Source organism: Homo sapiens, chromosome X, assembly GCF_000001405.40.
Source record: "Homo sapiens chromosome X, GRCh38.p14 Primary Assembly".
Lineage (NCBI taxonomy): Eukaryota > Metazoa > Chordata > Mammalia > Primates > Hominidae > Homo > Homo sapiens.
In genome coordinates, this window is record NC_000023.11 from 43,224,253 (window position 1) to 43,237,168 (window position 12,916).

At 35.7% G+C, this 12,916-nt stretch overlaps 1 long non-coding RNA gene across 1 annotated transcript in view; it reads left to right on the forward strand.

The window, feature by feature from the left end:
• The window catches only part of PINCR (p53-induced noncoding RNA), a 49,605-nt gene extending 47,259 nt beyond the window's left edge, over positions 1–2,346 (forward strand). Inside the window, exon 6 of the long non-coding RNA NR_110387.1 lies at positions 778–2,346. This is a non-coding gene — a long non-coding RNA (p53-induced noncoding RNA). The remainder of the gene's footprint in view (positions 1–777) is intronic.
• Positions 2,347–12,916: the final 10,570 nt, after the last annotated feature.

Sequence of the window (12,916 nt, forward strand, 5' to 3'; positions counted from 1 at the left end):
TTGGTGTTACTTGACTCAGAGCTGTTCTTACTTCACTCTAGTGAGTACCAAGATAGTGACTTGAGCCATCTTGGTAGTGCCTCCAAATTCTTAAGGAAAATATATATAACAAATTCATTATTTCAAAGTTTTATTTTAAGTTTGATGCAAGAGACTAAGCCTCTAACTCAGACAAGTGAAATATTTCACTCTTAGTGGAGACACAGGAAAAAAGACTGATTGGAAAAAGAAATCATTGTTAGAAAGAGTAAAAAATGAAAAAGAATGTTTGTTTAAAGATATTTAGACTGCTGCTAGATACATAACTGAGTAGGTAGTAAATAATATCACCAATTTTTTAAAATTTGTAGATAGGTTTAGCAGAACAACCCCCAGGCAAATTATCAGGCATAACAATGACTGCTCTGAAGGAGGCTGGTAATTACATCACACTGGGTTTGAGTCATTTTTTTCCCTTACTCATCTGTAATCTAAATTATGTTACCCTTCAAGATCTAGCTCAATACTTCCTTTGGAAATAGAAATGGCATTCCAGGGTGAAGGTGGAGGACAGGAGCAGGGAAGTATGGTTGGGAACATGAATACACAAAAATATAGAAGAAAAAGCAGTATGATAATGCAGAAGTCAGGATGAGATCCACCTAACTCAGGTGGACACTGCTTACTAGAGACACAGGAGGAAAATATTCCAGAGATAAATGAAAAATTATATGGAGTCCTCATATTTTTTCAAGTGGGAGAACTAAGGTTGTTTGCTTTCTCATTCATATTTACCAGGTTACTGACTGTGCAAGAACCCTTTGATCACGTACCTTACAGACCAAGATAAGTGAGGATGCCCATGTATAACCTGCTGTCTTTCTGGTCTCTTATGTTTTTGTACCAGAAAGGGACAACTTTTTGGGTAACCATAGGTCTCTAGTATATCTGTGATTACAATAAAGATTTTTGATATACCAAAACTGATGAACCAAAATTCCACTGAAATAGCGAGTAAATGGAGTTCTTTTATCCTTTGCAGTATACCAGGGTGAACTTTTTACATGATTTCTTGCTCCAAAGGGAGAAGTGTTATGACAAAGTACATTTAAGGACCCTAACTGATCACAGAAAAAATATTAATGGCATTGGGAAAAAAATGCAGACTAATGAATCCACTACTAAATTTTATCTATCTTGTAGCTCTAAAATTGCACTGTTTAGAATACACTATGGTAGCCACTAGACATATGGCTACTTGAACTTGAATTGGTTAAAATCAAAATTAAGAATTTAATTTCTCACTCACATTAGCCACATTTCAAGTGCTCAACAGACACATGTGGCTAGTGTCTACCATATTGGACAGCATAGATTTAAAGCACATTTCCATCATTGCAACACTGCAATATGGAGGATGTATCCTCAATACATTGATATTGCCCCCTCAAAATTCATAACCCCTAGATATCTTATCTCTGTATGTGAGGATAGTGTATTAACTTGCACCTGGACTGAGATAGATAAATGCTTATCTCCAGAGATGTCTGAAAGTCTGGTACTGACCCTTGTCTAAGATAAGGATGGAATGTGCTGGTTAATGATTTATACTGTGCTATACAAAGTCCAAAATTCCTTTGGAGGTATCCTCTGCTGGCTTGTCTACATTGTTTAAGGATGGATAGGTTGATGGTTTGCACCTGCTTTAATCATTTACACATTCTGATTTTATTTGTGATCAGTGGAGGATAAAACCTTCAATAAACTTGTGTCTTAGCTTCCTTGATATTAAGATATCTTGCACATATCTTAGATTTTTATAATCTGAATGCAAAGCACATCCTTTGCAATTGAGAAAGGACTCTGTGAGCTGCTCCTGGATATGTGAAACCCCTCAGTGACTGACCGTATTTTCTTTCTTCTGCTGTACTTGCCCTTATTAAAGCCTTACATGTGAAGTAAGTCCTTTCAATTGTCTGACTCCGGGTGATTGTTATACCCTTTGATATAGTTTGGATATTTGTGCCTTCCAAATCTCATGTTGAAATGCGATCCCCTATGTTGGAGGTGGAGCCTAGTAGGAGGTGTTAGGGTCACGGGAATGGATCCCTGATGAATGGCTTGGTACACAGTAATGAGTGAGTTTGTGCTTTATTAGTTACTGTGAGATTTACTTGGTAAAAAGAGCCTGGCAACTCCTCCCTCTCCCTTGCTCCCTCTCTTGCCATGTGACATGCTTGCTCCAGCTGCACCTTTTGCCACAATTGTAAGCTTTGTGAGTCCCTCAACAGAAGCTGAGCAAATGCTGGCACCATGCTTCTTGTACAGCCTACAGAACTGTGAACCAAATAAAACTTTTATTTTTATAAATTATCTAGCCTCAGGTATTCCTTTATAGCAATGCAAAACAAACTAACACACCCTTAAACCCTATATTTAAGGCTGAGATCTTGGACCCTCCTCCTAAAATTTACCTTAAAAGGTGAAGCAAGCACTAGTCTTGGAGACTATAAATTGGAAAAAATGGCAAAGCAGTAGGTGTTCCAATCTTTGCTTTAGGCCTGAGTAAGAGGCCATAAAGATGCCTGTGGAATCCTAGATCTTAGTTCTGGGTGTAAGTAGAGGGAAATTGGGGAATAACATAGGCACAGCATAGACAAAATTTGGCCAACAGATCCTAGTCTCCCCACTTCTGTCAGGAATATAACTCAAAGGTGGAAGGAGGACTGAGCTTACAGATGAAATTCAAATAGGGACTGACAGTTATTTCTGTTGGTTCATATGACTTCTATTCTAGAAACTGTCTCTGAGGCTGAAAGCATTGTAGGATATAAGGGAATGAAAGCTGCAGTATAATGAAAATTGCACAATTAAATCAAGATCATCCACCAAAGGCGCACAGTCTAAATAACTACAAAATCCACTGTCTTCCATAAACTATTTGTTTTGAGTGTTCTTGGATTAACTTAGAGACAGCTTTCTGTTCTGGGTACTATAAAGGCTCTAAATGGGATATTCATTGTAAAGCACGTGTGAATAAAGGAAATAATTATGAAATATAAGAGAACAGCAGAAACATTTACACACAGAAAATGCCTTGTAACCTTAATCAGGATAAAGAAAGAAAGAAACACTAAGAAAAAGTCTAATATTAGAGAACTGGTTGAATGAATTATGGTATAGTAAAGTGATGGAATATTATGCAGGCATTAAAATGATAGGTTTATGTAGAAACATAAACAAAATGTTTCATATAATGTTAAGTAAAATCAGCAGAACACAAAGTGGCATATCATATATGAGAGCATAAAATATATGCAAGTTGAAGGAAATATATTAAAATAAGGTATTATGATTGGGAGTGGACTATTTTTTATATTAAAATGTACTGTTATATAGACTGCCTAAGGGTATACATTAATATATACACCTTCTGTATGTGTACATGTATATGTAAACATAAGACATAAAGTGGTAGACACATTAGTCTGGATATTGTTTAGACATTGTCTTTTTTGTAGACATTGTCTAGCAACACTTACCAGTAGAACATGTTGCAATGATGGAAATGTTCTTTAAGTCTATGCTGTCCAATATGGTAGACACTAGCCACATGTGTCTGTTGAGCACTTGAAATGTGGCTAATGTGAGTGAGAAATTAAATTCTTAATTTTGATTTTAACCAATTCAAGTTCAAGTAGCCATATGTCTAGTGGCTACCATAGTGTATTCTAAACAGTGCGATTTTAGAGCTACAAGATAGAAAAAGTTTAGTAGTGGATTCATTAGTCTTCAATACATTGGTTTTCTCCATCTGTCCCCATTGCTTAAGGTGAAAAGTACTCTTGTTTAACATTAAGTTTGCTGAAGGACACATGAGAAGTCTCACAAAAGTTGCTTGGGTTTATTTCTTTTCTTCAGGTTGAGGATTTTCAATTTAATAAATCCTTTGAACTTTAACTGATTAATTTATTGAGTAGCTAGAAGAAGTTAGGATAAGAAAAAAGATCTGGGAGCTACAATCAAAGAGACTCTCAGTTGCCATTGGAAAAGTGCTACAGGGCATCTTAGAGCAGATGAGTAAATAGCTATGCAATTCACAGTCTTATCCAACTCCGAAAGAGAAAACTATAGGGAAATCTTTCCAGCAGCTTCTCCATGTACTTTTCTCAAGAGACCAGAGTTATCCACAGGAAAATGAAATGTGCTGAACTATACCTGGGGGCTATGACGTTTGAGGGGACACAATTCACCCCATAACAGGCACATATTGAAAACCAGGCTGCTTATCAAAACATCTAAAGCATTCTTTTCTTTGCACTCCTCTTCCTCCACTTGACATGAGCTGTCATCAGGATAGGCTGTGGTTGACACTGCTTTCTGTCATGGAGGAATAATTTCCTCATGGCCAAAGTAACAAGACGTGTATATAAGGAGGTAGACATAACATAGTCTTCTGGCCAGGAATCAACTGTGACATAACTAGATGGATTATGTTAAACATGTGAGTTTTCAAAACATAACAACCAAGGCAACTTTGTTGCGATGAGTGACCATTCAATGCTAAATGGCACATGAAGCCTTTTAGCTCTTAAAATGAACAGGGAGGATGCTTATCTGTGCTTTGAGGAGAGAAGTTAAACAATAAAACACAGAGCTGGTTCTTTGAAAAGATCCATAAAATTGACAAACTTCTAGCAAGACTGACAACAGAAAAAAGAGAAGACACAAATAACTAATGTCAGGAATGAAAGAGTGTATTATTACAGACCCTGCAGACACCAAAATGATAATAAGGAAATACTTCAAACAATTCCATACTCATACATTTGACAACTTAGATGAAATAGATCAACTTTTAGAAAAACATAAAGTACCTCAGCTCACCCAATATTAAATAGTTGATTTGAATTGCCTTATGACTATTAAATAAATTGAATTCATAATTTTTAAAACTCCCCAAATAGAAACTCTAGGCCTAGACGGTTTCACTGGAAAATTCTACCAAATGTTCAAAAAGAATTAAAGCAATTATATACAATCCCTTGCAGAATATAGAAGAGGTAACACTTCTCAATTAATTTTATGAAGCTATTATTACTGTGACACCAAAAGCAGACAAAGATAGTGTCCAAAACTAAAAGTACAGATCGATATCTCTCATAATCTTTGATATAAAATTCCTTAACAAAATATTAGCAAACTGAATTCTATGATGTAAAGAATTATACACCATAACCACTGGGGTTAATTCCAAGGATCGAAGCTTGGTTAAATATTTAAAAACAAATAATTTCATTCCACCATAATAACAAGGTAAAGAAGAAACATTAATGATTTTGTCAATGGATACATAAAAAGCATTTAATACATTTTAACACTCATTTATTATAAAGTCTCAGGAAAATAGAAACAGGACAACTTCCTTAACTTGGTAAAGAACAGCTACAAAAACCCTACACCTAACATTATACTTAATGGTGAAAGAATGAACGTTTCCCAGCTATGCTCAGAAACAAAGTAAGGATGTCTACTGTCACTGCTATTATTCCGCATAGTGATGGAAGTTTTAGGCAATGCAATAAAGAAAAGTAAAGAAATAAAAAGGTATACAGGTCAGAAAAGAAGAAAGAAAGAAAATCTATTAATAAAAACTCCTAGGTCTAAGTGAGTTCTTCAAAGTCACAGGATATTATGATATTAGAACAATACATCAAACAACAAAAATCAATTGCATATCCATATATTGATAAAAAACATGCAGAAACCAAAATTTAAGACACCATGCTACTAAAATTGCCAAATAAAATAAAAGAGTTAAGTATATAGTTAACAAAACACATATAGGGTCTGTTTGCAAAATTACAAAATGATGAATGTAATCAGAGAAAACCTAAATACATGAAGAGACTTGCCATGTTCATGAATTGGGAGACTCAACACAGTATAGTTGTCAATCCTCTCCTAATTTATATAGAGAGTTAACAAATTTCCCATCAAAATTTAAGCAAGGTGTTTTATAGTCATATAGAAGCTTATTCTAAAACTCATAGGGAAAAGCACAGGCCCTGGAATAACTAAGATAACGTTGATAAAGAATAATAAAGTGGGAGGATTTACTCTACCCAATATTAAGACTTACTATATAGTCCAATAATCAAGACAATATGATATGGTGAAGGCACAGATGCATAGATCAATGGAATAGAATAGAGAACACAGAAATTGCTTCCACACAAGTACAACCACTTGATTTTTGACAAAGGTGCAAATACAATTCAATAGAGGAAGGATAGCCTTTTCAAGAAATCGTGTGGGAGCAATTGGCCCTCCATAAGCAAAAAATGAACCTTGCCCTAAACCTCACACCTTATACAACTATTAACCTAAAATGGATAATGGACTTAAGTGTAAAATATACAGAAAAAAAAAACAAGAGAAAAAATCTTTGGGGTCTAATACTAGACAAAGTTTTATTAGCCTTGACACCAAAAGCATGATTCATAGAAGGAAAAATTGATAAATTGTACCTCATTAAAACTAGAAACTTTTACTCTGTGAAATCCCGTATGAGGAGGATTAAAGACAGTCTACAGACTGGCAGAAATTATTTGCTAACCACATATTTGACAAAGGGCGATTATGTAGGATATAAAGAAGTCCCAAAACCCAACGGCAAAACCACAAACAATCCAATTAGAAAATGGGCAAAAGTCTTGAAAAAACATTTCACCTAAAGGGATACACAGATGGAAAATAAGCACATGAAAAGATGTTCAACACTATTAGCTAAGGAAATGCAAATTAATACTAAAATGAGATATCACTACACATCTATCAGAATGACTAAAATAAACAAAAAAATAGATATAGCACCAAATGCTTGAGATGATGTAAACACTGAATCGCCTGCGTTGCTGATGGGAATGTAAAATGGTATAGGCACTGTGGAAAACAGTTTGGCAGTTTCTTATACAGCTAAACATGCAACTACCATACGACCCAGCAATTGTACTATTGGATATTTATTCCAAAGTTATGAAAACATGATCATACAAAAACCTGAACATAAATGTCGTAACAGTTTAATCTGTAATAGTCAGAAATTGGAATCGACCTAGATGCCCTTCAAGGAATGAATAGTTACACAAACTGTGATATATACACACTCAGCAATGAAAAAGAACAAACTATTGATACTTGCAACAATTTGAGGAATCTATGAGAAATCATGCTGAGTGTAAAAAGCCAGTCTCAGAAGGTTACATTGTGCACTATACTATGCTATAAAATTTTATTTTTAATAACAATTGTATATGTTTATAAGGTATCAATGTCAATATCTTGGTTGTGATACTATACTATACTTTTGCAAATTGTTATCATTGTTAGAAACTGGGTAAAGCATACAAAGACTCTCTCCATATTGTTTTTTACAACTGCATGTGAATTTACAATTATATCACAATAAAAATTTCAAAAACATTTTGCAAAGCACTGAAACATACACTTCACCAAAGAAAATACAGAGACGGCAAATAAGTATGTGAGAAAACATTTAACATCTTTAGTTATTAGAGAAATGCAAAGAAGAAGGAGGAGATACCACTACACATATATTACAACAGCTAAAAAATACTGACAATATCAACTGTTTGCAAAATTGTGACACATCTGGAACCTTCACCTGGGAATGCAAAATGGTGTAGCCACTCTGTGAAATCATTTGGCAGTTTTCTTATAAAGTTAAACCTACATTTACCATACTATCCAACAATCTTATTCCTTGGTATTTACTCCAAAGAAATACAAACTTATGTTCATACAAAAACCAGCAAATTAATATATATCACAGCTCTATTATAATTGTCCCAAACTGGAAGCAACCCATATACCTTTTTTAAAGTGTGAGTAGACAAACAAACTGTGATATACCCATGCAATGGAATAATACTCATCAATGAAAAGGGATAAATTATTGATACATGGAACAACATCAATGAATCTCAAAGACATTATGCTAAGTGAATGAAGCAATTTTGTAAAAGTTACATAGTATGTGATTCTGTTTATAACATGTTCTGGGGAGACAAAACAAATCAGTGGTTGCCAAAAGTTGAGAGGGGGGAAGAGGGTGTGATTATAAAGGAAGAGCATGAAGTCATTTTCGAGGGCTGATAAAACTGCTATGTATCCTGATTGTGGTGGTATTAATAGATACATTAACCTATACATGTGTTGAAACTCATAGAAATGCATGCCAAAAAGTCAGGAGGGAGTAGAAAAGATTCATATGAAACCTTTGATAACCTATAGCCCATCCTAGCAATTTGTACTCAATTCTTTCAATGTCTCTGAGTAGTGACTCAGGGACTTGAAGACTCAGTAACTAGTTATCTACATATTTTGTCTTGAACTGAAGCGTCTATTGTGCCTGCCCATGTCATTAGAGAACAGGAAAATTGGAGATGCCATTAGAGAACAGGGAAATTGCAGTTGCCTTTTCAAAATTCTGGTTCCTTTCTTCACACATGACATAGAGACAAAATTACATGATAACTTTTTTTTATGTAGTGCAAGCTTCATTTTTCATGAATTTATCTTCTCATCTAAAAATTGTATATTTCCATTGAATGCTTCTTAGTTTCCCTCTTATATAAGCAGTTTGCCTTATTTAAATGGAATTTTATGCCCCTCGAATGTCACAGAATCTTTGTAATTAGAAAACCTTTCCTATTAGAAAAATTGTATTGTTACAAATAGTGACTTAAAGTCATATTTTTAGGTAGCCAAAATAAGTCTTAAAATACCTTGTTTTCCTAGAGTTTTAATGCATAAATATGGTGAGAAGTTTTTGGCTACAATTTAGACTAATTTCATTAGAACAGCAGTGTGGTTATTCATTTCCTAATTTGAAACCATTTTCTTGGTATAGGTAGTTTCATGTTAACCATTTTGAAACAAATTTGCACAGCGTGAATAGTCAAGTGTTTAGAAATATCAACAAAAGCATACAAATTTGTTGAAAATAACATCAGAATTACGGTATTCTCTTTCCCTCTGTCTTCCACCCATTTTAACCTTGAAATGGGAGTATCATTGAAATAGTTTGCCCCCTCATAGTTGTGAAGCCCTGTTCTGTGTGTACCTGCCACCCATGGGACCCTAAGGAACACTTTATTCAGCCAAGGAAATAGAGGGGTCACTGCCATCCTCAGTTAAAAGTGCTATTTTACCTCTTCACATCACTGCCGAGTGTCATCGTTGCTTTCAAAACCCCATGTACTCAATAAAGCTTTCATGAATTAATTGCCTGAGTAAAAAAGTTTTCCCATTACCATGTCCAAACATAAAACATATGTCGGCTTTCCACTCACTAATTTCTATATAAATTCAGTAATTCCTTACTTCCACATAATGCAAACACCTGAACGTTATGCTTATTCATTCAGATAAATGTTTATTATTCAATTATCTATGTATCATAAACGTATTCAGTCTACCATAGTGGTGCATTGAAATAAATTAACCATATTCCAAAGGAAGTTATGATCTGCCTTTCTCTGCCAAGCGTGGCTCCATTTATAAATTGATACTTAACAAATACTTTCAATAGCTGATAAGGATGACTTTATATAACTGAAGAGGCAAATAGATTTTATGGCTGTGACAAGAGATACAGAGAAATTAAGAAATTATATTTCCAATTATGCCATGAGCCATTATCAGATCTGAATATAACACTATCAAAATTTACAGTCTTTAAGATATTTAAGATTCTGATAGAATAAAGCCTTTAGTATTGCTTTGATTATCCCAATACAGTTTCAGGACAGTAGTTGATTTTAGGAAGGGCTGGCATCAAGAAATGATAAGGATCTTTGAAATAAGGTTTGCTTGGTTTCTGAATGCAATTTTACCTTTCCAGAAAGAAAAATAAACAGCTATGAGAAAGCAAGTGCAATAGATCCTGATCAAACTTGGCATTTACTTCAAAACAGATATCTGTCCACAAACATCAACACCTAACTTGTGTGTTGAATGGAGCATATTGGAAAGCTTTCTATGTGAAAGATATTTTTGAAATTAAAAGCAAGTGAGGGGATAAAAACAAATGAGTCATCATTTAAAACCTTGTGGCCATATGTGAACTGAAGTATTTCTGACCCTTAGAGATAAATTTTTCATTTAGAATCAAGTGTCAGGCTCTGCATATTTGAGATTTGCAGGACAGGGGGAAAACAGATTTCATAATTTTATCACATTTACTACAAAACATTTCCAAATGTTGGCCATTATCTTTTCCTTTGATTTTCTTCTCTGAACCTCTCTTACCTCAGCAAACACAGGTTTTATAATAAAAGAATATGATTTTCTCAGCTGTCTCTCAAGCTTAGGAGAGTGGCCATGCACCCACATATTACTCACTGTCTTTCAAGATCTCATAACTTGGGACAGCAAATTTCTCTTTATTCTCCAGAACTAATTTCAGGCTTAGAGCATGGGAAACCCTCTGGGCTGCTACCATTTCTGAAAAGACAACTAAGGCAGTGATCACCTGGTAGACAAGTTTAAATAAATCACTTGACTTTGCTTTTTGCTTTTGCAAGATTATCACATCTTCAAGAAGATTGATTGAAGGAACTGACAAAGACAAGCTCTTTATTCATTTGGTACAAGGGTCTCCAAAGGGTTCAATCTTTAATTTGGTTTTGTGGAATGTTAACAGGGAAAACAGATCTTTCACGGTCAGGCTATAACACTGGCTACTAGAAATATGATTTTTGTGTTTTATCTACAATGTCAGATACTGATTCCTAAGCTTTTAAATAAATCTTTTAAAAAATTTTCTGTCTTAAGAGGGCTCATAGTTGCTTCCTAAGTAGTACTTTACCTTATTCTAATTTATTTCAAATGAGATTGCAAAAATAAACACATGTTCTTTGTCTTACTTTGGACCCTCTCGAAAGCAGACTCTGAGGTGAGGACACAGGTGCAAATTTTTTATTTGGGAGGTGAGCATAGGAAGCAGAATGGAGAAGTGAGTGAGAAAATACAAAAGGAAAGCTAATGAAGTGGGTATTCATTAGCAGGTTATCGCTGTGGGCAACTGGAGCTTAATTTTGCTAGGGCACCTCTGAAATATCACATGGAAGAGGTTTCCCAAGGACTGTGGTGGAGGTGGGTGGGGTTGAGAGGGACGCTGGAGCACTTATTCACAGATCCCATACTTCATTGGCTGAATTTGTCTCAAATAGCATGAACTCCCCATACTTCCATGTTGTGCCTGTATATAGTAGCCTAAGTTTCCATGCTGGATAAAATCCTCAGCCCGAGAAGACAGACTGGTGATTGGGCTGGGAAGCTAACAGGTTCTGGTAATTGTCTTTATTTGCATCTGCAGGTGAATTTATGTAGGCCAAAGAAATATGAAACAGAGCATCAACAGCGTCTACTCTGTGCTTTGTTCTGTATCTAAAAGGGGCTTAGTAGAAGTTATTGACAATGAGAGGGAGTAATGTAAATATGCCTTTCAAATCATTAAACCTGACCTATAAAGAAGCTGACTTTGCCGGGCGTGGTGGCTCACAACTGTAACCCCAGCACTTTGGGAGGCTGAGGTGGGCAGATCACCTGAGGTCAGGAGTTCAAGACCAGCCTGGTCAGCATGGTGAAACCCCGTCTCTACTAAAAATACAAAAAAGTAGCCAGGCATAGTGGTGGGTGCCTGTAATCCCAGCTACTCAGGAGGCTGAGATAGGACAATCGCTTGAACCTGGGAGGCAGAGGTTGCAGTGAGCCGAGATCGCATCATTGCACTCCAGCCTGGGCAACAAGAGCGAAAATCCATCTCAAAAAAAGAAGAAGCTGGCTTTTGAAAAATGAGCCCTGGTCTTACTACAAAGCATTAATGTTTACAAAAGTTCCCATTTGACTAGTGTTTTATCCTTACTGATGGAGTTCCACTTGGGTCAAGATTCATAGTTAGCATTATATATGAGTTGATGGTACAGTTGTAACTCTCCTTCCTCCAACTGCCTCTTTCACTGATGGCCAATGATATTATTTAGCAAGAAGTACCAACTGGAGGAACTAACCGAAGGTACTAACTGGAGGAACTTTGATCCTTGCATGATTGATTCTTTAGGTTGGAACTTTTGCATTATGGCTTAGTTGTATTAAGTGACACCCCCAAGAAACAGCTCTAATGAATTCACTATTTCATTTAATGTAGATGTGTTCTGAAGAAAATTGTCAGGTACATTGCTCAATATGCCTACTTAGAGACTCATATGAAAAAGTTATTCATATTTGAAAAGTGTTTTTCCCCTGACACTAAATATGTGGTAACTTTACCAACACAAATTCACTGATTCTTGACATAAACTGAGTGTCTGACACTTCAATCCAATTCAGACCCTACCTATCTAAAGTTAGCATAGACCCCACAAGTTAAGGGCTCATTTCACAAGTCTGCCTTCACTTCAGATGTCAGTCACAAGTTCAATGTTTCCACCCATATTTATTGACAAGCCATAAATTTGGGGGTTCACACAATCCCCTTTTTAGATTCAATAATTCATTAGAATAACTCACAGAACTCGGGAAAGTGCTTTGCTAGTAACAGTTTATTATAAAGGATACAACTCAGGAACAGCCAAATGGAAGGTATGCATAGGGCAAAGTATGGGGTCAGTGGGCACAGAGCTCGCATACCTTCTCTGAGCACACCACCTTCCCAGCATACTCACTAACCCAGAAGCTCTCTGACTGTCATTCAGAAATTTTTATAAAGGTTTCATTATGTAGTCATGATTGATTAAATCATTGGCCATTGGTTTTTGAACTCAATCTCCTGTCCCTCTCCCTTCCCCAAACATGGTAGGGGAATGTGGTGAGGGGGCTGAAAATTCCAACCCTCTAATTGTGCCCCCAT